General features: G+C 49.0%; 1 protein-coding gene and 1 long non-coding RNA gene across 6 annotated transcripts, besides 4 other annotated features; one reads left to right on the plus strand and one right to left on the minus strand.

The window, feature by feature from the left end:
• On the minus strand, positions 1–25,368 carry ARSD (arylsulfatase D). 5 transcript variants are annotated; one of them, NM_001669.4, is made up of 10 exons: positions 25,261–25,368; positions 21,645–21,794; positions 17,932–18,053; positions 16,630–16,752; positions 13,833–14,256; positions 11,585–11,721; positions 6,688–6,822; positions 5,846–6,008; positions 4,750–4,871; positions 1–3,661 (listed from the first exon to the last, which is right to left on the minus strand). In NM_001669.4, exons 1-10 carry the CDS (start codon positions 25,302–25,304, stop codon positions 3,300–3,302), a joined length of 1,782 nt encoding a protein of 593 aa, NP_001660.2. In that variant the 5' UTR covers positions 25,305–25,368; the 3' UTR covers positions 1–3,299. The 5 variants fall into 5 exon arrangements, with proteins under 5 accessions (NP_001660.2, XP_005274572.1, XP_047298064.1 ...); XM_005274515.3 differs by having other exon boundaries at positions 1–4,013; XM_047442108.1 differs by lacking the exon at positions 25,261–25,368 and adding an exon at positions 21,890–21,907.
• ARSD-AS1 (ARSD antisense RNA 1) lies at positions 933–2,151 on the plus strand. The gene is made up of 2 exons (NR_144459.1): positions 933–1,234; positions 1,597–2,151. It is a non-coding gene; the product is annotated as an ARSD antisense RNA 1 (long non-coding RNA).
• Positions 19,864–20,374: an enhancer, noted in NCBI's record as "H3K4me1 hESC enhancer chrX:2841876-2842386 (GRCh37/hg19 assembly coordinates)". NCBI's record gives its function as "activates a minimal SCP1, AML or CMV promoter by ChIP-STARR-seq in primed H9 embryonic stem cells {active_cell/tissue: H9 hESC(primed)}" and the evidence as "EXISTENCE:reporter gene assay evidence [ECO:0000049][PMID:30033119]".
• Positions 20,375–20,884: an enhancer, noted in NCBI's record as "H3K4me1 hESC enhancer chrX:2842387-2842896 (GRCh37/hg19 assembly coordinates)". NCBI's record gives its function as "activates a minimal SCP1, AML or CMV promoter by ChIP-STARR-seq in primed H9 embryonic stem cells {active_cell/tissue: H9 hESC(primed)}" and the evidence as "EXISTENCE:reporter gene assay evidence [ECO:0000049][PMID:30033119]".
• Positions 24,856–25,015: a silencer, noted in NCBI's record as "silent region_20638". NCBI's record gives its function as "represses an Ori minimal core promoter by ATAC-STARR-seq in GM12878 lymphoblastoid cells {active_cell/tissue: GM12878}" and the evidence as "EXISTENCE:reporter gene assay evidence [ECO:0000049][PMID:35858748]".
• Positions 25,036–25,385: a silencer, noted in NCBI's record as "silent region_20639". NCBI's record gives its function as "represses an Ori minimal core promoter by ATAC-STARR-seq in GM12878 lymphoblastoid cells {active_cell/tissue: GM12878}" and the evidence as "EXISTENCE:reporter gene assay evidence [ECO:0000049][PMID:35858748]".

Raw genomic sequence — 25,673 nt, forward strand, 5'->3', positions numbered from 1 at the left:
CAGGGAGATTTGTCACATTTTATTCAGTATTTCTGCTGCACTGCCAGCCTAGGGATGCACTTGATTCCCAAGAAATGCAACTGTCCTATTCGCAGAGCCGTCCACAGGTACCTACCCCCTGGACTGCAGCAACTTTATTACCTTAACTAGCACAGAACAGAGGTTGATTTAAACTCCTTACACTCACTTCTCAGATCAATGAATGGGCAAAGAAACACCTCATGGCTCTGGGAAGGCATGCTGAGACCCGTTTTTGCAAGTCCTGAGGAATGGAAGAATATAGCTGCCAGGTATCCCAAGTCTAGGGCAGGGAGGGTAGTATCGGCATCACTTTCACTGCATTCTGTTGGTCAACGCAAGTCAGAGGCTCAGCCCAGATCCAAGGGCAGGGAAGAGGCTCCATCGTGTAGTTGGGCTCACTTGGAAGGTAATGGGAGGAGTTGGTGGCTGCTTTAAGACACATACCACATCTAGATTTCAACCTCCAGAAAAGTCCAAAGATGCACTCACAGGAGCCCGTTAGTCAACTGAAGCTGGTTCATGGCTCTCTTCTTCAGGTGGAGACTAACCAACTCCCTGACCTCCTTCGGTTAAGTGCTCCTTCCTTTTTCCTGCTGCCTGGAATGTCTATGTGCCATCTGGAGCTATGGCAGCCTTCTTGCAACCATGAGGCAAACTCTATGTGCAAGAGCAGGTAGCTAGAAAGAGCCTGCCAGCCCTGGGCTTATATCCTGCTTCCCAGGGAGCTTAAAGATAGCAAAACCCACAGCCATTTTCATCAAATGCCAGGAAATTCTTAGGCTGGGATTGTTGGGATTGTTTGAATGGTTGAGCGTGAAAGACTTGTTATAATGGGCTTGTTGAATACGGTGAAAGATGAGATGGCTTTTAGCTGCCTCCACTCCCCGTGTCCCATGCTCCATAGATGTTTCTTTTTTTTTTTTTTTTTAATCATTTTTTGGTTATGCCAGGTGTCTCCTGTGTGTCCCTCCAGATCCCTCTCCAGCCCTAGAAACCTGAGCTCTATAAATGTTGCCTCTCTCCACTCATCTTCTCTTTGGCTTCAGGTTGAGTTCAGCCAACAGATGCCCCTGTAGGATTTGGACACAGGGAGCCAGGGGAGAGGGGCATCAGCTGCCTGGTTAGCAGGGCTGTGATGATTCTTCTACCTATGACTCTCAGTGCTGTTGCCTCTTCCTCTGGATCTTGGAAGCTTCCATGCTGAGGTCTGAAGGTGGCTCCCTGCCTCCCACTGATGTCCTTAGAATCCCATCCTCACCTAATACCTGGTATTGAACACTGCCTTTCTTAGATGTCATTTAGGCTCTCGTTTCAATTCCCAGTATGCTTCCTGCAAAGACCTCGATAGATGGACTGAGGGGAATAGTGCAAGGTCCTCCCATCCCCAGTATTGGGATCTAGGGGCAGGGGGTCCCAGCTGTGCAGTAGGTTAGGACTACACTTCCATCATCAAAGCCACAGAGGGAAGAGGTGAGGATGAAACACACTAGAATTGACTTAGAAAACACACTGGCCAAATCTTAGCTATTTGAGGAATGTAGGGAGAAAAGCCACCTTCTCTCTCTATGTCTGAAGGTTCCCATGGCTGTCTCTTTGCCCAAGGGGCAAACTTTCCATCAGGGCATCTTCTGTGCCTCTGAGGATCATTTTCCAATTATAGGCAATGGTAGTACGTGTTTCAGTGCAGAATGAGATAGAGTTGTTTAATTTGACAATAAAGCGATGCGTCAAAAACCTCAGTCAACACAGTAAGTGTTTTCTTGTTTTCCTGCTGACCAACCTAATTCTGGTTTCATACAGGGCAGCCAGGTGCCCACCTAAAAGACTGCACTTCTCAACTTCCAGTTGTTTCTATGGATAATGGTTGGAAGCAGAAATTGGGTTGGGGCTTCCAGATAATCCCCCCTCACAGGGACTGCTTCAAGAGAAAGGGATGCCCTTTGGTTCTTTCTCCTTTCCACTGCCTGGAATGTGATGTCTGACACTGTGGCAGCCATACTGGCATAATGAGGCCAACTCTCTGCCATGCTAAGAGTGGCAGAGCTGGGAATTGAAAAGAGCCTGCTAGCCTTGGGTTGCTTCCCCTTGATCGGCTCATTACTTGGAAGAGAACACACCCTTCTCTTATTATTTTCTTTAAGGCATTTTTTTTTTTTTTTTTTTAAGGCAGGGTCTTACTCTGTCTCCCAGCCCGGAGTGCAGTAGTGCAATCTTAGCTCATTGCAGTTTTGACCTCCCAGGCTCAAATAATCCTCCCGCCTCAGCCTCCTAAGTAGCTGAGACTACAGCTGTGCGCCACGACATCTAGCTAATTATTTGTTTTTTGTAGAGATGAGGTCTCACTGTGTTGCTCAGGCTGGGTAGGTGTCTAACTCCTAGGCTCAAGTGATCCTCCCACCTTAGCCTCCCAAAGTGCTGGGATTACAGGTGTGAGTCACCGTGCCTGGCTTTGTTTAAGGCATTCTTTTTCCGCAGCATCTGTTACCAGCAGCCTGAAGCCATTTCTATAACAATATCAGGAAGACACATGGACAGAGACCCTAATGTATGAAAAATGCATCAATTATTTGAGATTAATGAGTCCTCATAAACAGAGACTGAGAGGCTCTAACTTTCCTCCGCTATGTGAGAGTAGGAACAGACACTCCTCCCTGTCCTTTTGTAAGGCTGTTATGTCATCTAGGTGATGAAATTGCAACAATGCTTTAAGACGGAGGGGTGAAAACATCGGGCATTGGCACAATGACGAACCCTGAGATTTAGAAGAGGAAGAGGAGGCATCAGTGGGTGCCTACTGGGACAGTCTTATTTCACAAATCAGGAAAGGGAAACCCTACATGGGCGCAGTGGCTCGTGCCTGTAATCCCAGCACTTTGGGAGGCTGAGGCAGGTGGATGACTTGAGGTCAGGAGTGCGAGACCAGCCTGGGCAACATGGTGAAACCCTGTCTCTACTAAAACTACAAAAATTAGCTAGGCATGGTGGCAGGTGCCTGGTGCCTGTAATCCTGGGTACTCAGGAGGCTGAGGCAGGAAAATCGCTTGAACCCGGGAGGCGGAGGTTGCAGTGAGCAGAGATCGTGCCATTGCATTCCAGCCTGAGGGACAGAGCGACACTCTGTCTCAAAAAAGAAAGAAAGAAAGAAAGAAAGTGGGGACCCACTCTCAGTCCAGGGCATGTTCCTTGCAAAAAGGGAAGCTGAAGATAGAACCAAGCTTGGAGAATTTTGTTTGCAACGCAGTCAGGCTCTCCTGGATCCTCTCTCACAGTCCTGGCATTCAGGGGGTGCCATCCCCATCCTCGTGGCATGAACAGAACGGGAAATGTCCGCAGCACGGCTGCAGCCACGGCTTCCACAGGATGTTGCTCATGGAAAACTGCTGGGGCACAGGACTCAGGGTCTGCCGATGCTCCGACACCGCGGCACCTACCCTTGCTATCACGGCGTGGTACAGGGGCTCGGAGTCGGGGGTCAGGGGCCGTGCCTCGGAGGGGTCCCTGGAGAGGTCAAAGAGCAAAGGGGGTCTGTGATGGGTCACGCCCTCCCCGGAGCATGGGCAGACGCCTCGGCCGTAGCAGGCCCCCGCTCCCTCGGGGTGGAACTGCGGGGTCGTGTAATGAACCTTCCAGACGCTTCCACCTGGATGCAGACAAGAAGGGAGTCAGGGTGGCAGAAATCCACGCAGGTGTGAACGCAGAACGCAGGTGTCGGCCCTGTGGTATCAGCATGAACCTCCCTATTCAGTGAAAAGGAGGAGGGACACGAGGCAGTCCACACAATCACAGCCTTCAGCTTGCAAAGTCAGAGCATGTGTGTGTGCGCGCGTGCGCCCATGTGTGTCCGTTTGTGTCTCTGCATTGCATGCCCCAGGCAAAGGGACTCATTGCAGAGCGCTCACTGTGGCTGCTTTCAGAAATCAGAATCATAGAGGTTCCTTAATTCTTCCCCTTTCCCCTGTGTTGAAACTGTTCAGCGTCGATCTACTACCTTTCTACACAGAAACAACCATGATATTTTAAACAGCATGATTGGGTACTTATCTATCTATCGCTACCTATTTATCTATTTATCTATCAATCCATCCATTTATCTTACCCATCGATCTCATCTATCTACCATTATCTATTTATCTATCGATCATCTATCTACCTACCTATCATCTATCTCTGTTTATCTACCTTTCATCCATCTATCTGTCCATCCATCTATTCATCCATCCATGAACTGATTCTACTTTTTATCTATCTATCTATCTATCATCTATCTTATCTATCCATCATCTATCTTATATATCTATCATCTATCTTATCTATCCATCAATCATGTATCTTATCTATCATCTATCCTACATATCTATATATTTATCCATCCATCATGTATCTTAAATATCTATCCATCATCTATCCATTATCTATCATCTATCCATCCATCATCTATCTTATCTATCCATTATCTATCTTATCTATCCATCATCCATCTCATCTATCTATCTATCCATCATCTATCCATTATGTCTCTATCATCTCTCTCTCTCTCTCTCTCCCCCCCCCATCATCTATCTATAATCTACTCATCGGTTTATCTATCTCTATTTCTATAGCTATCTGTCCATCCACCCATCCATCCATCCATCCATTCATCCATCCATCCATCCATCCATCCACATATCCACACATCCTATTGGCTGTTTCTCTGGACAACCCTGGCTGTGGGCAGCAGGTACTCACTGTCCTTCTGGTGCCAGCGTGCTGCGTGAAGATGCTGCCCACAGTAATGAAACAGGAACTCATGTGCCGAGCGTGCCTCAGCTCCCTGCAGCAAGGGTACCAGGCTGTGGCCATCAATCACCCTGATTTCATGAAGAGAACACAGAGCAGAGTCAGACCACGGGTTCCCAGGCAGCCTTTTGCACCTGGGAACACATCTCCCAGAATGCAAGGCTCCCCAGCAAATGGAGCAGAGATGAGCTGTCTCTCCAGTCGCTGTTCAGATTACAGGTTGCTGAGCAGGATACATGTGGTTATTTCAAGACACAGTGTCTCTAAGTGTTGGGGTCATTTGTTATGCAGCACTGCATAAGCAGAGTGCACACACACACACACACACACACCCCAACACACAGCACTGTCACCTTGGAGGTCAACACAAAGCCTTCAAATTCCAGCTGGACAGCCCACATTCCTAGGTTGGCTTTTCTTACTTTTTTTTTTTTATGAGGCAGAGTCTTGCTCTGTCACCCAGGCTGCAGTGCAGTGGCACAATCTCAGCTCATTGCAACCTCTGCCTCCTGGTCAAGTGATTCTCATGCCTCAGCCCCCTGAGTAGCTGGGACTACAGGCACAAGCCACCACACTCGGCCAATTTTTGTATTTTTTGTAGAGATGGGGTTTCACCACGTTGGCCAGGCTGGTCTCGAATTCCTGACCTAAGGGGATCCGCCCATCTAGCCTCCCAAAGTGCTAGGATTATCGGCATGAGCCATTGCATCCGACCTGTCCTTACTTTTTAATCATAACAGACCCCAAGACACATGGCCACATGGGTAAAGGAGATGGTGGCGCATGCCTGTAATCCCAGCTACTCGGGAGGCTGAGACAGGAGAATTGCTTGAACCCAGGAGGCGGAGGCTGCAGTGAGCCGAGATCATGCCATTGCACTCCAGCCTGGGCAAGAGTGTGAGACTCTGTCTCAAAAAAAAAAAAAAAAAAAAGCTTATTTATGTAACCAAATACCACCTGTTCCCCAAAATCCTATTGAAATAAAAAAAAAAAACTAAAAACAATTAAAAAAAATCAGGGAACAGGCAGCCTTATCTCCACGTACCTGTCCTGGGGCACCTCGCCACCCACCAGCTGGACCACAGTAGGGAACACGTCCATCAGGCTCGTGGGCTCTCCAATCACTCGGCCGGCCGGGAGCACCCCCGGCCAGTGGAAGATCCCGGGCACGCGGATCCCACCTTCCCATCCTCCCATGCCCTTCCCACCTGTAAGTAGAAGACATCGTTAGGATTTTGCCGGAAACTGCCCAGTCTGTACACACATCTGGATGTATTTGTGCATAGGTATGTGAATACGCACAGCCACCCGGATGCACACATGCACACTGGGGCAGCCTCAGCTTCCCAAAAACAGCCACAGCAATATTTCCAGAATCATGCTACTCCCTGGCCTCTTGAATATCGGTGGGTCGCTGTGGCTGATTCAACTGTTCTAGTCGATCTATGCTACCTTTATTTAGAATAAAATAATGTATTAAAATATTCATTAAATTTAATAATTTAAAAATGTTTGTTAACTATCAATAATTTTTAAAATATGTATTATTATGCATCAATATTAATTGATGCATTTAAAATATTAAAATAGTAATAAATTTATTAAATATTTAAAAATTAAGACTATAATAAAATAAATTTTAATTTTATCTGAATTATTTATTTATACCTCTCTGTATTCTACTAAAATGTAAACCCTTTAAAGGAAGGGGATGTGACTTTTTATCTGCCTGTCCTGCTCATCTAGGTAGAACTTGTACTACAGTAGGTGCTCAATGCATTCTTTTTGAAATGAGCAAACTCATTTTCAGTTCAACTTGTTCTGGGACCCTCAGTGGTGGCAGATATTTGGTCGAATGCATATGTGTCCCCGATGTCCACAACTCACCTTTGTAAATTCCGTTCCATCCCCCTAACTGGCTGTGTCCATCTCTTGCCTCTAAATGTCCTCCATGGTCAGAGGTGAAATACGTGAATGTTGAGTTCTTTAAACCATTGTCTTCGATGGCATTAAGAACCTTACCTTTACAGAAAATGGAAAGTTTCAGGACCAAGAAAACAAAGCAGCATCCACTAGTTCAATGCGCTTCTTCCTTTCTGCAGGAGACACCTCTTGCCAGGAAGTCATAAGAAGAGACCACACTTACTCGGAGGCCGTGGTTACAATGTGATCCCAAAGTGTAAGACATAGCTAATCACTGTGATACCACAGGACTGTTTACAATGCAAACCAACAATAAAATTCGAAGCCCCCCAACCGACTGATGGACTCTCCCTTCAGCCAAGGCCATTCCAAAGTTAACCTGAAAAACTAGGTCAGGCCGGGCCTGGCGGCTCACACCTGTAATCTCAGCACTTTGGGAGCCTGAGGTGGGTGGATCACCTGAGGCCAGGAGTTCAAGACCAGCCTGGCCATTATGGTGAAACCTCATCTCTACCAAAAACACAAAAATTAGGCAGGTGTGGGGGGTGCACGCCTGTAATCCCAGCTACTTGGGAGGCTGAGGCAGGAGAATCGCTTGAACCCAGGAGGCAGAGGTTGCAGTGAGGTGAGATTACACTACTGCACTCCAGCGAGGGTGACAGAGTGAGACTGTTTCAAAAAAAACCCAAAAGAGGGCCAGGTGTGGTGGCTCACGCCTGTAATCCCAGCACTTTCGGAGGCTGAGGCGGGTGGATTACGAGGTCAGGAGATTGAGACCATCCTGGCTAACACCGTGAAGCCCCGTCTCTACTAAAAACACAAAAAATTAGCCAGGCATGGTGGCGGGAGACTGTAGTCCCAGCTACTTGGGAGGCTGAGGCAGGAGAATGGTGTGAACCCAGGAGGCGGAGCTTGCAGTGAGCCGAGATCGCACCACTGCACTCCAGCCTGGGCGACAGGGTGAGACTCCATCTCAAAAAAAAAAAAAAAAGAAAAAAAAAACCAAAAGAAACAAAAAACAAAAACAAGGTCAGGCCATGTTGGAAAGTAGTGGGGGCGGGGGGAGTGGTGGACATGCGTCATGATACCCTCCTCCCTTTGGAATTCAGGCACAACTGACCAGCATTCACATTGAAACAGAGACCTATGACTGAGAGAAGGCCAGGCACAGTGGCTCATGCCTGTCATCCCAGCACTTTGGGAGGCCGAGGCAGGAAGATCCATTGAGCTCAGGAGTTCAAGACCAGCCTGGGCAACATGGTGAAACCCTGTCTCTACAAAAAATACAAAAATTAGCCAGGTATGGTGGCACATGCTTGTATGTAGTCCTAGCTACTCGGGAGGCCGAAGTGGGAGGATTGCCTGAGCCTGGGAGGTCAAGGCTGCAATGAGTCAAGATCACACCATGCACTCCAGCCTGGGCAACAGAGTGAGACCCTGTTTAAAAAAGAAAAAAAAGACTGATAGAACAGACTCTTTAAGTCTGATAAGAAACATTTACCATGTATTCTCTCTGAAGCCTGCTACCTGGAGGCTTCTTTGGCATTATGAAACCTTGGCCTCCACAACCCCTTATCATAACCCAGACATTCCCTTCTATTGATTCTCAGATAATAACTCAACCACCTGCCAATCAGAAAATCTGTGAATCCGCCTTTGACCTGGAAGCCCCCCTTTCAGTGGTCTTGCCTTTCTGCACTGAACCAAGGTACGTCTTACACGTGCTGATTGATGCCGTATGTCTCCCTAAATGTATAAAGCTGAGCTGCATGCCGACCACCTTGAGTACATGTTCTCAGGACCTCCTGAGGGCTGTGTCACAGGCCACTTGTCACTCATATTTGGCTCAGAATAAATCTCTCCAAATATTTTACGGAGTTTGACTCTTTCGGTCGACCCCAAGATACCACCAATACAAAACACAGAATGAACACACAACGCCAAGAGGTTGCCAGTGAGCACGCTTTTTTAAACATAGTGCCGTGTGTGTGTGTCACATAATAAAGACACTGGGGAGAGGGAAATGGTGAGACTCAGTGATGACAGAACCCTATGTAGGAGGAAGCAGGGCTGTAACTAGCATCTATGGGCATTGGCGTATTGGAGGCTGATGGCTCAGCAGCGCAGAGGACGCCCTGCAAACCAAGCAGTTGCTTTATCCCTGGAGGCCACTGGTCATTGAAAGCACTGAAAGTCAAAATGATATAAACCACAAGGTCATCTGTAGCTCTGAAAATGCAGACTTTGAAGCCTGCTGTAAACTGAAAAGTATCTGAGGCGGGTCTCAATCCATTTAGAAAGTTTATTTTGCCAAGGTTAAGAATGACACAGCCTCAGGAGGCCCTGATGACATGTGCCCACCGTGGCTGGGGCAAAGCTTGGTTTTGTATACTTTAGGGAGACATGAGACATCCATCGCTACATGTAAGATGTACATTGGTTGAGCTGGAAAGGTGGAACAACTGGAAGTGGGGAATTTAAACATATTCTCATTGGTAACTGATTGAAAGAGTTATCAATAGAAAGGAATGTCTGGGTTATGATAAGGAGTTGTGGAGACCAAGCTTTTATCATGCAGATGAAGCCTCTAGGTGGCAGGCTTCAGAGAAAATAGATTGTAAATGTTTCTTATCAGAGTTAAGGTCTGTGTGGATGTTCATGCTGCGGGGGGTAGAATGAGGCAAGCCCAACCCCCTCTTCCCGTTATGGCATGAACCAGTCTCTCAGGTTAAATTTTAGGGTGCCCTGGCAAAGGAGGGAATCCATTCAGATGGTTGTGGGGGGCCTTCGAATTTATTTTTGGTTTACACTGTGAACCAATCCCGCCCTATCACTATGCTTGTCTCGGGAGATATGTTCAGATTCTGCAAGGATTTTAATATCTACACTCTCTTAAGAATCTGCAGCCTCGTTGGTCCTCTCCAGGGTTTCTTCAAGGCCATAGAAGGAAGGTGACCTCTCTGCATTGTCCGAACTTTATTGCTTTAGTTTCTGTAACTTCTAATGAGGCTGTTAAGTCATTGGCTGTGTAGAAGGTTGACAATATAGTTTGGATGTGTGTCCCCGCCCAAATCTCATGTGGAATTGTCATCCTCAGAATCGGCGGTGGGGCCTGGGGGGAGGTGACTGAATGATGGGGACAGAGTTCTCATGAATGGTTGAGCACCATCCCCCGCTTGGTGCTGCGGAGGGAGTAGCTTCTCACGAGATCTGGTTGTTTAAAAGTGTGCGGCTCTTCCTCTCCTCTCTTGGTCCTTCTCCTGCCACAAGACGCCTGCTCCCCCTTCGCCTTCCACCATGAGCAAAAGCTCCCCGAGGTCTCCCCAGAAGCAGATGCTGCCATGCTTCCTGTGCAGCCTGCAGAACCGTGAGCCAATCCAACCTCTTTTCTTTATAAATTACCCAGTCTCAGGTATTTCTTTGCAAGAATGGACTAATACAGTTGATTTTGTGCAAAATTAGACTAAGTAATCAGAAATACTGAAGGACCAAATAAATGATATGAGAGAAGTTTTTCTCCCTATTCTTCGTCTTTTATTTCTTTTTTTTTTTGGAGACAGGGTCTTGCTATGTGGCCCAGGCTGGAGTTCAGTGGTGCAATAATTATAGCTCATTGCAGCCTCAGCCTCCTGGGCTCAAATGATCTTCCCACCTCAGCCTCTGGAGTAGCTGGGACCACAGGTGCACACCACCATGGCTAATTTTTTAAATTTTTTGTAGAGATGGGGGGGGGGGGCGTCTCACTATGTTGCCCAGGCTGGTCTTGAACTCCTGGTCTCAAGCCATCTCCCTGCCTTAGCCTCCCAAAATGCTGGGATTAAAGGCATGAGCCACCTTGCCCCACCTGAAAATGCAGACTTTTAAGACTGTGAACTCTATCACGATGCTTGTCTCAGGAGACACATTCAGATTCTGCAAGAATTTTAATGTCTATGCTCTTTTAAGAATCTGCAGCCTCACTGGTCCTCTCCAGGGTTTCTTGAAGGCCATAGAAGGAAGACAGCGTGTCTGCATTGTCCTGAACATTAACTTTATCGCTTCACTTTCGGTAACTTCTGATGATGACATGAAGTCACTGGCTGTGTAGAAGGTTGATTTTGTGCAGAATTAGACCAAGTAATTGGGAATACTGAAGAAGCAAATAAATGATATGGGAGTGTGTTCTGCCCCCATTCTTTGTACTATTATTATTATTAAAGAGACAGGGTCTCACTCTGTTGCCCAGCCTGGAGTACAGCAGTGCAATCTCAGTTCACTGCAGCCTTGACTTCCCAGGCTCAAGCGATCCTCCTGCCTCAGCCTCCCGAGTACCTGGGACTACAGGCGTGTACCATTATGCCTGGCTAAGCATTTATTTTTGTAGAGATGGGGTCTCACTATGTTGTGCAAGCTGGTTTTGAATTCCTGACCTCAAGTGATCTGTCCATCTGGGCCTCCCAAAGTGCTAAGAGTAACTCTTATTCTTTTTCTTTTTTTTTGAGACGGAGTCTTGATCTTTCACCCAGGCTGGAGCACAGTGGTGCGATCTCAACTCACTGCAACCTCTGCCTCCCGTGTTAAAGCGATTCTTGTACCTTAACCTCCCGAGTAGCTGGGACTACAGGTGTGCACCACCACACCGGGTTAGTTTTTGTATTTTTAGTAGAGACAGGGTTTCACCATGTTGCCCAGGCTGGTCTCAAACTCCTGACCTCAGGTGATCCGCCCGCCTTGGCCTCCCAAAGTGCTGGGATTACAGGCGTGAGCCACCGCCCTTATTCTTTATTGCAAGTTGGTTCATATTCAGATGGCCAGTCTGTTACGCCCTATGTTCAAACCTGAGGCCGAGGGTGGAGTGAGGCTCCATGGTACCTTGACTTACCTATGAGCCAGTCCATCTCCTCCACATTATCACCATATAAGCCATGCTGACTTTTCCCCAGGAATGCACTCGTGGTCACAAGGGGAATGTGCACATGCAGCAAAGAAAGGAAGAGGAGAAATGGCCCATGCTTGTGTCTGAAAGAAGAAAACTTCCTTGAGAATACACAGAATATACAGTACACCAAAGGGACCCCTGCACCCATACGTTCACTCCAGCACTATTCACAAGAGCCAAGGCAGGGGATCACCTTCTGAGTTCATCAGTGGGTGAACACAGAAAGAATAAATGGTGGGCCAGGCGTGGTGGCTCATGCTTGTAATCCCAACACTTTGGGAGGCTGAGGCGGGAGGATCACTTGAGGCCAGGAGTTCAAGGCCAGCCTGGGCAACACGGTGAAATGCCATCTCTACCAAAAATAGAAAAATTAGCTGGGCGTGGTGGCTTGAGTCTGTGGTCCCAGCTACTTGGGAGGCCGAGGTGGGAGGACGGCTTGAGCCCGGGAGGTGGAGCTTGCAGTCAGCCATGATCATACCACTGCACTCCAGCATGGGTGACAGAGCCAGACCCTGTCTCAAAAAAAAAAAAAAAAAAAAAGAATATATTGTATATGTCCACAATGGAATACTATTCAGCCATAAAAAAGAATGGAGGCTGGGCACAGTGGCTCAAGCCTGTAATCCCAGCACTTCGGGAGGCTGAGCCTGGCAGCTCAGTTGAGGTCAGGATTTCAAGACCAGCCTGGCCAACATGGTGAAATGGTGAAACCCCATCTCTACTAAAAATAAAAAAATTAACAGGGTGGGGTGGCAGGTGCCTGTAATCTCGGCCACTCAAGAGGCTGAGGCACGAGAATTGCCTGAGCCTTGGAGACAGAGGTTGCAGTGAGCCATGATCACACCACTGCTCTCCAGCATGGGTGACAGAGCCAACGCTGTCTCAGAAAAAAAGGTTATATCTGGTATATGTACGTGATGGAATACTATTCAGCCATCAAAAAGAATGAAATCCTGTCATTTGCAGCAATACAGATGAAACAGGAGGTCACTATGTTAACTAAAATAAGCCAGGCACAGAATGACCAATACTGCATGTTGTCACTCATATGGGAGAGCTAAAAAAAAATCGATCACATGAAGATAGAGAATAGAATGATAGAGACCAGAGGCTGGGAAGGGTGAAGGACAAAGAGAAGTGGTTTAAAGAGTACAAACATACAGTAAGCTTAAAGGAGTACATTCAACGTCTGATAGCAGAGTAGGGTGACCAAAGCTAACAAAATGTATTGTACTCAGGAGATGGACACTGTAAGTATGCTGTTTGATCGTTATTCAGTGTATACATGTAACAAAATTTCACACATACCCCATACATTTGTACAAATTAAAAAGTAAGGGCCAGGCACGGTGGCTCACGCTTATAATCCCAGCACTTTGGAAGGCAGAGGTGGGAGGATGGCTTGAGCCCAGGAATTCAAGACCAGCTTGGGCCATATAGTGAGACATTGTCTCAAAAAAAAAAAAAAAAAAAAATGAGACATTAGAAAAAGGCCAGGCACAGTGGCTCACTTCTGTAATCTTAGCCCTTTGGGAGGCCAAGATGGGAGGATTGTTTGAGCCCAGGAGTTTGAGACCAGCCTGGGCAACATAGTGAGACCCCATCTCTACAAAGAATGCAAAAAAAAAAGTTTAAAAAACTGTCAATAAAAATGTACAGAATCCAATGGCGTGTATGTCAATGCTATTCGAGCCATCACATGACATCCACTTCGAGACTCTCATATGGGAAACCCAGCCACATGAAAAGGTTGGCTTCTGCAAAGCCGTCTCCTCCGAGGGTTGGTGTCTGAGATCCCAAAGATTATAAGGGGACTCTCAGATGCTCTGAGCAGTTACCGTGTCTTTTTTTTAAATTAAACTTTATTTTTATTTTTTTAGCGACAGAGTCTCACTCTGTCACCCAGGCTGAAGTACAGTGGTGTGATCATTGCTTACTGCAGCCTCGACATCCGAGGCTGAAGCGAACCTCCCACCTTAGCCTCCTGAGTAGCTGGCATTGCAGGCACACACCACTATGCCCGGCTAATGATTTTATTTATTGTAGAACCTGTCTTCCTATGTTGCCCAAGCTAGTCTAAAGCACCTGGGCTAAAAGATCCTCCCATCTTGGCCTCCCGAAGTGCTAGGATGACAGGCATGAGCCATCGCGTCCGGCCCCATCTCCTCTTTAAGATGCGATGGTTGCTTACCTTTCAATATAGGAAACAGCTTCCTTTAGCATAAGACTCGCTGTTTTCTCCAGAACCATGGGTTGCTCCGTGACGTCATGGTTTCTCATCAGGATACAGTTCCAGCGTCGCACAAACCCGAAGGAGGAGTACCAAGAGATGAAAAACAGGCAGCCCACGCCGGCCATGCCGGTGACTGCTCTCGCGGAGACAGAGAAGAAACCGCAGGTCTGGCCGGCAGCCAGGGTGAGAATCCCCAGCGCCAGGAACTGGGTGTAACCCCAGAGCTGCGCCCTCAGGGCGGCGTCCACTTCGGGGGGCCTGCCTGGGTCACAGTCGTTTGTGAGCGTGAAGGGCATGCCGTAGAAATAGTCAAATCCGTGGTTCAGGGGGTGGTGGCAGTGATCCCCGCGGGATGCACAATTCACACCCTGGTGCCATTTTCCTAAAAGAAACGCAAATGTTCAACAGAGACCCGCTTTGAAGCAGCCCTGTCTGCTGCAAAGAACCTCGGAATCATTCCGCGTCGGCAGGAAAAGAAAAGTCTGCAAAGAGCAAAACTGGAAATGGAAAGGCAATGAATGGATTGGATACCTGTGTTTAAATGAACGCATTCTGATCCGTGAAGACTAACGAATGCATCCATGTCAGAACCCTTGGCAAGTGATTAAAGGTTTAAGACTTTCGGCCGGGCGCGGTGGCTCACGCCTGTAATCCCAGCCCTTTGGGAGGCCGAGGCGGGCGGATCACGAGGTCAGGAAATCGAGACCATCCTGGCTAACACGGTGAAACCCCGTCCCTACTAAAAAAATACAATACAGGTGGCGGGCGCCTGTAGTCCCAGCTACTCGGGAGGCTGAGGCAGGAGAATGGCGTGAACCTGGGAGGCGGAGCTTACAGTGAGCCGAGATCATGCCACTGCACTCCAGCCTGGGCGACAGAGCCAGACTCCGTCTCAAAAAACAAAAATGAAAATAAAAGTAAAAATTAAAAAAAGTGAGAGAGAAAGAAAGAATAAATCCACCCTCAGAGTAGGAGACACACAGACTTCTACAGTATAAAGCACTGGCCCTGTAATCCCAGCACTCTGGGAGGCCAAGGTAGGTGGATCACTTGAGGTCAGGAGTTCGAGACCAGCCTGGCCAACATGCTGAAACCCTGGCTCTACTAAAAATGCAAAAAAAATTAGCCAGGCATGGTGGCACATGTCTGTGGTCCCAGCTACTCAGGAGGCTGAAGCAGGAGAATCGCTTGAACCCAGGAGGTGGAGGCTGCAGTGAGTTGCAATCGTGCCACTGCACTCCAGTGTAGGGGACAGAGCAACACTCCATCTCAAAAAAATAAAAATAAATAATAAATAAAAGAAGAAAAAACTTTAAAAAAATTCAAAATAAAAATAAAGTGGCAGGAAACTTGAAAAGGAGGAACAATGGTTGTCCTTTAGAAAACCACAGCTTCGGACAAGTTAGGGTGTTGCGGCTCCTGTGAATGGGACAGTGGCTTTGAGTGTGAGAAAAGCACAGAGGGGAACTGGGGACCCTGCACAGAGATCCCACCACCAGGTCGGGGCGGGTGGCCTCACCACTGCGCTCCCACGTTCTCATGTGTATGACGGGGACAGCACCTCTAAACACACAGGCTGGGTAAGGAATGAAGGAGGTAACCAGCAGACTGCCTGGTGCTTGGCGGCATAAACCAACATCTCCCTCCTTTCCTCTCCGTGCAGAAAGGAGTTTAAGGGGCAGGCCTGAGCTAGTGCCCCTTACAAAGGCTGGCTTGTAAGATTCCCCGTGGCTGGTGTTTGAGATCTGGATTTCCAATGGAGAAGTCACACCATTAAAATAATAAGCTGACTGTGCCTAAACTATATGCAAAAGCAACGTGGTTCATGCTAAACACCTCCTTTGGTTCTGGGAGTCTGGAATTCGGGTGGGTGCCAGGCAGTGAGTGCCTGCAGGACCAGCCCCCAACAGAAACCCCTGGGCACTGATTCTCCCGGGAGCTTCCCTAATAGACAGCATTCCTTGCGTGTTGTTGAAACTCATTTCTGGAGGAATATGGTGCATCCTGTGTGATCCCACTGGGGGAGGATTCTTGGGAGCTTGTGTCTGGTTTGCCCTGGGCTTCATTCCGTGTAATTCCCATCACTGATTCTGCCTCACCTCCTTTGACTGTCATAAATCACCCATGAGCACAACTGCATGCCAAATCCTCCTAGCAACTTCCTGAACTTAAGGGTGCTCTTGGAGACCCCTGACATGCTGTCTGTTATAAAGAGGGTGTTCTGCCCCTGCCGGGGTTTATTGTCTAAAGGAAGGCAGTGTTTGTTAACTCTGGGGCTTTTGAGATGGTGAGTGGCCATGTAGAGAAGGATAATGTCTGAAGAAGGTCGTGATAAATGGGGACAAGCTGAAGACTGATAGGTCCAGAGAAGAAAAGAGGGCAATCTCCTAGGATTTTGAATTTAAGAAGAAAAAAAAACTCATGAAAAACTGGGGACAATCCAATAGGCATGAGATGGACCAGGCACCAACTTCTGATTCAGAGGACACAGGATTGTTTTCCTTTGCAGGAAAACGGGATCTTTTTTTTTTTTTTTATTCTTTGAGACAGAGTCTCGCTTTGTCACCTAGACTGGAGTGCAGTGGTGTGATCTCGGCTCCCTGCAACCTCCGCTTCCCGGGTTCAAGCGATTCTCCTGCCTCAGCCTCCTAAGTAGCTGGGACTACAGGCGTGCGCCACCACGCCTGGCCTGGGATCTTTTTTATCACGAATATTCCCAACCACCGTATAATGTGAGGCTCCCACATATCCACACCTATGAGGCCGGTTGCATAGCCATGCTGCTGCAAGATTCTTGCAAAAGTGGTTTCGTTCTCAGGGAGTCCACCTGAGCCTGCGTTCCACTGAAGGGCCCGGTATCCATTGCTGGCGTCCATGCCTGTGGGGCAGAGAAGACAGGAAGAATTTACTTTCCTTTCTCTAGAGGAGCACTTCTCAACCAGAGGGATTTGGTGTCTGAGATCTGGATTTGTGCACCCGAGCCAGGCTGCTATTATCTATCATCCATCTATCATGTATGGAGCTATCAATTATCTACCCATCTATCGTCTGTCATCTATCTACCTACCTACATACCTACCTACCTACCGACCTATCACACTATTCTCGAAATAATAAGCATGGCCAATGTCTGGAGATGTTTGTGGTGTCACAGCTCAGAAAGGGTGGTGTGTGGTGCTACTCGTATCGGGTGCGTGGAGCCGAGTGATGCTGCTCAAGACCCTACATACAGTGCACAGAACAGCCCCACCACAGAGAATCATCTAGCCCCAAATGTCCCTCATGCCAAAACAGAGACACCCCACCTTAGGATGACAGACGCCATGTGATCTATCATATGTCTATCTATCTGTTTACCTAGCTATCACCTGTCACCTGTCTATCTCAATATGGATCCATCATCTATCATCTATATCTATCCATCTATCTATGTATCTATTATCTGTCATTATCATTAATCATCTAGCTATCAATCAGCTATCATTATCTATCATCTGTCTATCACTTATCTTTCTATCATCATTATCTATCATCTATCATTATCTATCAATCATCTCTTATCTAGCTATCTAGCTATCAATCATCTATCACGTCATGATCAATCATCTATCATTATGTATCATCATCATCTAGATATCTAGCTATCAATCATCCATTATCTATCATTATCATCCATCTAGCATGTATCTAGCTGTCAATTTATCTATCTATCTATCTATCATCTATCATCTATCTATATCACAATGATTCTCAACTTGGGGAAACTTTGCTCTCTCTAAGAGACACTTGGTCTTGTGATCAGTCATACTGGCTCGGAATAAACCTCTTTAAAATATTCCACAGACCTTGGTTTTTCTGTTCACATCCTAATGATCACAACTTTTATGTGTATGCACACAATACAATATTCCTTACATAAATACAAGGAAGACGATGAATTGCAGGTGATCTTTGTACCATTGCCCCTGTATCTTCACCATCAGTACTCAACTGTTACAGATGACAGAATGAGTGCACACAGATGTACCCATTTCTCCATCATCTCCGTGACACCAACCTGATCTGAAGGAATGTCTCCCTGTGAGGAATGCAGCTCGGCTTGGGGTGCAGAGCGGGGCGGCCGCCAGGTGCTGAGTGAGCCTCACACCTTCCTCTGCAAGCTGGTCAATATTCGGCGTTCTGAGCAAAGCACACAAATGTCATTGTTGGAAGGGAGACATGCATTTGGCTTAAGCAGATCCCTGCTCTGAAAGGCACAGGAATAGCTGCAAGGACTTCACCGGATTTCAGAATTAGTTGCATTATGGTCTCCTGCAGCGGTAGATTGACCCCATCCTAAGTTTGGTGTTGATGTTGAGATGGATGACATCTCTCTCTCTCTCTCTCTCTCTCACACACACACACACACACAAAGTATATGAGACAATTTATGACTCATATAACGAGGCTTTCTGGGGAGAGCAGGGCAGGCCTTCCAAGCTCATGTGAAATAAGGAAGCAAGGAAAGGAGATTTATGTTTTCAATTGTGGTGAGGGTGTGGGGCCGAGATGAGGGTTCCCATGCAAGGGTGGGGGCGTTTATGGTCTGAATCTGCCATCAGCACCAAAGGAGACAGTCCCTGTGCTTTCTTATCTGCTTGTCCAGATGGGGAACACAGACAGAAGAGGCTTAAAAGCTTTCATCATCAGATATCAAAAAACTGTGAGGGCCGGGCACGGTGGCTCACGCCCGTAATCTCAACTCTTTGGGAGGCCTAGGCGGGCAGATCACTTGAGGTCAGGAGTTCAAGACAAACCTAGCCAACATGGTAAAACCCCGTCTCTACTAAAAAAAATACAAAAATTAGTCAGGCAAGGTGGTGCACACCTGTAATCCCAGCTACTCGGGAGGCTGAGACAGGAGAATCGCTTGAGCCCAGGAGGCGGAGGTTGCAGTAAGCCGAGATTGCACCACTGCACTCCAGCCTGGGTGAAAGAACAGAGTGAGACCGTGTCTCAAAAAAAAAAAAAAAAAAAAAAAAAAAAAGAAAGAAAAGAAAAGAAAGAAAGAAAGAAAGAAAGAAAAGGAGCCAAAAGAGGTATCCACATAGAATGGAATCTATGGAATATGACTCAGCCACTGCAAGGCGTGAGGCACGGTACTGTGAAAGCCTCCTGACATAAAAGACCACAGGTTACATAATTCCATCTGTATGAAATGTCCCTAACAGGGGAATCTATAGAGATGGAAAGTATATTAGTGGCTGCCAGAGGCTGAGGGTTAGGGTGCTGAGAGAGTTGGAGGAGTGTTAGCTGGGGCTGCCATAACAAAGTCCTACACACCTGGCCGCTTCAACACCAGATATTGGTTGGGCACGGTGGTTCACGCCTGTCATCCCAGCACTTTGGGGGGCTAAGGTGGGTGGATCACTTGAGGCCAGGAGTTCGAGACAAGCCTTGGCAACATAGTGAAAACCTGTCTCTACAAAAAATACAAAAATTAGCTGGGCGTGGTGGCATGTGCCTGTAGTCTCAGCTACTCAGGAGGCTGAGGTGAGAGCCTAGGAGATGGAGGTTGCAGTGAGCTGTGATCATGCCACTGCATTCCAGCCTGGGCAACAGAGTGAGACCCTGTCTCAAAAAACAAAACAAAATAAAACAGAAAAACAAACCCAGTAGACATTTATTCTCTCACATTTCTGGGAGCTGGAAGTCTGAGATCAAGCATGGGCAGGGCTGGTTCCTCCTGAGGCCACCACCCTGGGCTCGTAGACACCATCTTCTCCCTGTGTCCTCAGGTGGTCATTGCTCTGTGTGTGTCTGTGTCCTCATCTCCTCTTCTTATAAGGACCCCAGTCCTATTGGATCAGGGCCCACCCTAGTGACCTCATTTTACCTGAATCACGTCTCTAAAGACTCAGTCTCCAAATAGAGTCACAGTCTGAGGTCCTGGGGGTCAGGACTTCGACGTAGGCGTTTAGGGGACACAGATTCGCTCCTCGCTGGAGGTGATGGCTAAGGGGATGCAGAGTTTCTTTGGGGGTATGCAAATGCTCTAACATGGTTTGTGGTGACAGATGCACAGCTCCATGAATAGAATAAAAGTCCCTGAACTGTACACTGTAAACAGATGAACCGCATGTTCTGTGAATTACAACCAGGCCTGCTCAGGGTGTTCGAAAGGGGATCCCTGGACAGGGGGCAGATTGATTGATTGATTGACTTAGAGACAGGGTCTTGCTCTGTGGCCCAGGCTAGAATGCAGTGGCGCAACCTCAGCTCACCATAACCTCCACCTCCCGGGCTCAAGCCATCCTCCACTCTCAGCTTCCTGAGTAGCTGGGACTACAGGCATGCGCCACCACACCTGGCTAATTTTTTGTATGTTTCATAGAGACAGGGTTTTGCCATGTTGCCCAAGCTGGTCTCAAACTCCTGGGCTCAAGTGATCCACCTTCCTTGGCCTCCCAAAATGCTGGGATGACAGGCGGGAGCCACCGTGCCCGGCCCACACAGGGCAGACTGCTGCAGGTGCTGCAATGTTCACTGCAAAGAAGGGAGGCCCTGCTCTGCGGGGACCGCTCCTGAGGTTGGCAGCTATTGAAAAGCAGATGCAGCCTGCATTCTGGGGCGGTCCTTCTAGGAGAAAAGCCCACCAAATGGAATAAGGAGCTTTCTCACCTTTTCTCCTGTTGCAGAAAGCACGTGAGCACCACTCAAGCGCTCTGCTGGTAAGGTTGGCATAGAGGCTACTACTCTGTGTTTGCACATGCCACTGCAGTGGGCTGAATGGGGGTCTGCGAACCGATCTGTCCACGTGCTGACCCCCCAAACCTGTGTGTGAGACCTTGCTTAGAAAAACTGTCTTTGGAGTTGTTATTAGGTATCCCGAGATGAGATCATCCTGGTTTAGAGAGGGCCCCAGATGCAATGGCCAGTGTCCTTCTGAGAGACAGAGGAGGAGACACAGACACAGGGGAGAAGGCCGCATGGGGACGGAGGCACAAACTGGAGTGATGTGGCCACAAAGCCAGAGATGCCTGGAGCCCCCAGGAGCTGGGAGAGGCAGGAAGGGTCCTCCCCTACAGCCTCTCAGGGAGCTCTGTTGGTGTCTTAATCTCCTCTTTTAGTAATCCATATCAGATTAGGGCTCACCCTAAGGACCTCAGTTTAACTTAATTACCTCTTCAAAGACCCCATCTCTGAAAACGGTCACACCCTGAAGTACCGGCGGTTAGGGCTTCAACCTACAAATTTGGAGGAGGCCAGAATTTGGCCCACAACAGACGTTGTTTGCAAACGTCATCAACAGAAGATGAGATCTTTACAGCGGGCAGGCCTTGCTGCAATGGCCGGTGTCCTTATAGGATGAGGAGATTAGGACACAGACGCAGAGGAGAAGGCCCCGTGGAGACGGAGGCAGAGACTGGAGTGATGTGGCCACAAGCTCAGGGACACCTGGAGCCCCCAGGAGCTGGGAAAGTCCGGAAGGATCCTCCCATAGGGCCCCCAGAGGGAGCCCGGCCCTGCCCACACCTGGATTTAAGATTTCTGGTCTCCAGACCTGGGAGAACAAATTTCCGTTGTTTTAAGCTACCCATTTTGTGGTAGTAATACATTCACCCCCTCACCGCAGTTCCGCATGGTTTAAAAGGGCCTTTTTACCTGTTGGTAGTTTTTTGTTGAGTTCTGAGGCCCTAAGGAGTTTCCTAATTTCTCCAGGCAGATTTTAAATGCACCATTCCGTCAAACTCACATAACATCATCACCAATAGCAACAACCAACTGTACCTCAGTGTATTGTTCCCGTAGCAACCGAGATCCCCAGTGCCTAGATCATCCGCCATGATCAGTAGGATATTTGGTTTAAAGGCATTTGCAGTTTTAGGTTCACACGTCTTCAGAAGCAAGCATAAAAACAGTAGCACCGGCAAAGAGTCCCTGGAGAGAAAAGCGAAACACAGAAATGACTATCTACAATTTGGCAAGGGAAGTAGGCATTTCAAGGCAGCTCGCTGGGAAGGCGAAGGTCTTACCACTAAATTAAGACGTTCAGCTTTATGGGAGGTTATTGTCTTGGCCTGAATTCCTGCACTGGTGTCCCTGGGCCAAACCGAGGGTCAGACTGCTATTTCTTGTGACCCAATAGCGAGATGCAGATGAATTGGGAAAGAAGAGAGTTTTTAATTCTGTAACCAGTTACAGGAGGAAGGCCTGGAAATTCTCTCCCAACCAACTCAAAATTACAAAGCTTTCCAGAGCTTATATACCTTCAAAGCTATATGTCTAAGTGTAAGTGTGCATTTATCTAAAGACATAAGTGATTAACTTCTTCTAATCTGTAATTAAGATCTGAGTCCTGAAGACCTTCCTCTGGAGCCTCGGTGAATTGACTTAATCTAGATGGGTCCAGGTGCTGGGGTGATTACCCTTATCTTGTCTCCTGCTAAATCACAGAGTTCTGGGGAGTTCCTTTAGTCCCCAACAAAGCTTGTTTGTGGAGGTCTGGGGAGTTTCTTCAGACCCACAATAAAACTTGTTTAATCCTAAATGGGTCCTGTTAAGAATTCCTTCGTTATCTTGTCATGCTTCAAAGGCCCAGGAGAGGCCTGGGCAGAACTCTTGGTGTGCTTTTGTTACATCCCAGCCTGTGCATAAAGGCGCTGGTTGTTTCAGCTTTTAGTATGTAACTTCACACTCAGTCAGTGCTGAAACAGTTGTTACGGAGGCCTGCATTAGTGAGACCTGGCCTGCCACACTAGACCATACAGGTCAGAACAAACTGGAATGGAGTCACTTGTGTTAACTGCCACATCGTCAAGCTGAACAGGGAAACAGGTCAGTTTTCCAAAAAACAGAAGATTTGAGTAAGCAAGAAGAAGATGTGTAGTTCATCTGAGCTAACAAAGTCTCCCGTGCTTTAACCCTGTAAGAAAAGTAACTTTGAAACAACCAATCTGCTTTATTATTCTTTTTTTTCTTTTTTTTGAGATGGGGTCTTGCTGTGCTGCCCAGGCTGTAGTGGCATGATGGTGGCTTACAGCAACCTCTGCCTGATTCTGAGGTGGGAGGATTGATTCAAGCAGTCCTTGAACTGCAGTGGATAGGTGGTGTCTTAGTGTTGGGGGATCGTGGCTGTGCTCTCCGGGGAGGACGCGAACGAGGGGTGTGTCTCAGGGTGTGTGAGGGGACACGGCTCTACTGGGGGGCAGGGGAGGAATAAGGCCATGGGGAGGGATCCGGTGTGGCCAGCAGGGCAATGGCCGCGGAAGGGGACAGGACGGGGCGTGTCTTGGAGGGTGGCGAGAGGCACGGCAGTGCTGCTGAGGCAGGAGAATAGGGTCTGGAGGCAGGGAACCTAAGGCTTTCCATGCCGACTTCCTAGAAGTAAATTGAAAGGAAAATCCTAACTTTCCTTTTTTTTTTAATTTTAATTTTTATTATTATTTTTTGAGATGGAGTTTCACTCTTGTCGCCCAGGCTGCAGTTCAATGGCATGATCCGGGCTCACTGCAACCTCCACCTCCAGGGTTCAAGCGATTCTCCTGTCTCAGCCTCCTGAGTAGCTGGGATCACAGGTGCCTGCCACCACGCCCGGCTAATTTTTTTGTAATTTTAGTAGAGGCCCGGCCTAATTTTTGTATTTTTAGTAGAGACGGGATTTCACCATATTGGCCATGCTGGTCTCAAACTCCTGACCTCAGGTGATCCACCCGTCTCGGCCTCCCAAAGTGCTGGGATTACAGGCATGAGCCACCTCGCCTGGCGGGAAAATCCTAACTTTCCATGCCTAAGTAACAAAAGGACCGAAGGCTTCCCTTTGACCTTTTCTATTGGGTAGATAGTAGACTGGCTGTCTGCAACCAATCGGACTGATTTCGGGTCTAGTCTTCGTGTGCAACTTTGTGACTTCACCCTAGTCTCTGATTAGTTGGGTTTTGCAACCAATCAGATGTTTGCACAGGAGTGTGACCTTTGTAACTTCACCCTTTGGTTGGCTGCTGCCTGCAACCAATCAGACTGATCGCGGGCCACCACTTCAGTTACATGAGGTGAGCATGAAGTGGCCAATGGGAAACTTCTAGGGGGTATTTGGACCCAAGAAGATTATGTACCCGGGCCCTTGAGCCGCTGCTTGGTCGGCTCCCACACTGTGACGTGTCCTTTTGTTTTCAATAAATCCCTGCTTTCCTTCTTTTGTTGCTTCATTCTTTCTTTGCTGGGCGTTTTGTCCAATTCTTTGTTCAAAACGCCAAGAACCTGGACAACTTGCAGTCACGACCCTCTACCGGTGGCACTGGGGCGCAAATGAAGCTGGGAATGCAGGACCCGGCGCATCTGAGGAAGTGCAGCGGGGCATGGCGGTGCTAGAGGGTGGGGACATGGAGGCGGCACAAGGCCAAGGCGCCGGGGGATGGCCAGAGGGAAGTAACGGCCGCGCTTGTGGTGGAGATGGGGACGGGACAGAGAAGTCTTGGGGGGTGACCGGGGTAGGCACGGCGGTGCTGGGGGGAGGGCGCCCAATGAAGCCCACGGGGGGGAAAGGGGCGTGTCTTACCGAGCGTGTTGGGGGAGTCACAGCCGTGCTTGGGAGGATGGGGTCTGGGGGAAGGACGGGGCGCGTCTTAGTGGGATGAGGGGGAGGGCACAGCCGTGCTGGGAAGGCAAAGGGCCGGGGGGCGGGATGGAGCATGTCATGGTGGGGCCGAAGAGGCGGGGGGCGGGAAGGGGCCTTCTTAGAAATCGGGAGGGCGTCACAGCTGTGCTCGGGAGGACGGGGCGTTGGGGAGGGACAGGGAGCGTCTTAGTGGACCCGGGGAACACGGCCGTGCTGGAAGGCATCGAGCTGGGGGGTTGGGGGCGGGACGGGGTGCCTCTTAGGAAGTGGGGCGGGCAAGGCTACGCTTCGGGGGATGGAGCCTTGGGGCGGGACGGGGCGCGTCTTAGTGGGGCAGAGCGGGGGGCGCGGTTCGGGGCGGGTCTTAGGGAGCCTTTGAAGGCCGAATCCGGGCAGCGGTGTAGCTGGGCGTGGAAGGCGGAGGACCCAGCAGGGCGTGACCGGCCCAGTTTCCGCTCCCTCCGGGTCCCGGCCAGCCTTCCTCCGCCCTCCCTTCCCTTCCTCCTTTGTTCTCTTTCCCTGCCCTTCCGCCTTCCCTTCAGTTCGGTCTCCTCCACCCGCCCTTCGTCCCCTCAGTCGCCCCCCATCCCTGGGCTCTGCTGTCTGGCGTCTTTCCCGGGCACAGAACGCGCCTCCAGCTACATTTTGGAGACTACAAGGCGCCGGACACAACCACGCCCTTTACAGGGGCCCAGGCTCGCCCGGGGCGCCCCTCGCCGTGCTCGCGACCCCCTCCCCAGGCCCCCACCCTAGGCCTTAGTATGGGCCGCGTCCCGGGGTCCCAGGCACCTGGCGGCGGGCGCGGCGCGTCCCCTCCGCGCGGCGGATCGCATGGCCGAGCGCTGGCCCAGAGCGCAGGACCTTGCCCTGCGCACTCCGCGCCCGGGCGCCGCTAGTGCCAAGGCTTCCGCCCTCTCAGCTGCGGGATCTGGGCCGGGCGCCCGCCCCTCCTTCATCCGCGTCATCTCCTGGCTCTCGGGACCTCCGGGACCTGCGCGTGGAAACAGGTTTTCCCAGGTCGTCACACGGGAAGGCCTGGGCTAAGGAGCTGATTAAACCCAGTTACGATTGACCGGGCGCGGTGGCTCCCGCCTGGAATCCCAGCAGTTTGGGAGGCCAAGACGAGTGGGTCACCTGAGGTCAGGAGTTCGAGACCAGCCTGGCCAACCTGGTGAAACCCCGTCTCTACTAAAAATACAAAA

The sequence above is a fragment of the Homo sapiens genome, chromosome X (assembly GCF_000001405.40).
Source record: "Homo sapiens chromosome X, GRCh38.p14 Primary Assembly".
Classification (NCBI taxonomy): domain Eukaryota; kingdom Metazoa; phylum Chordata; class Mammalia; order Primates; family Hominidae; genus Homo; species Homo sapiens.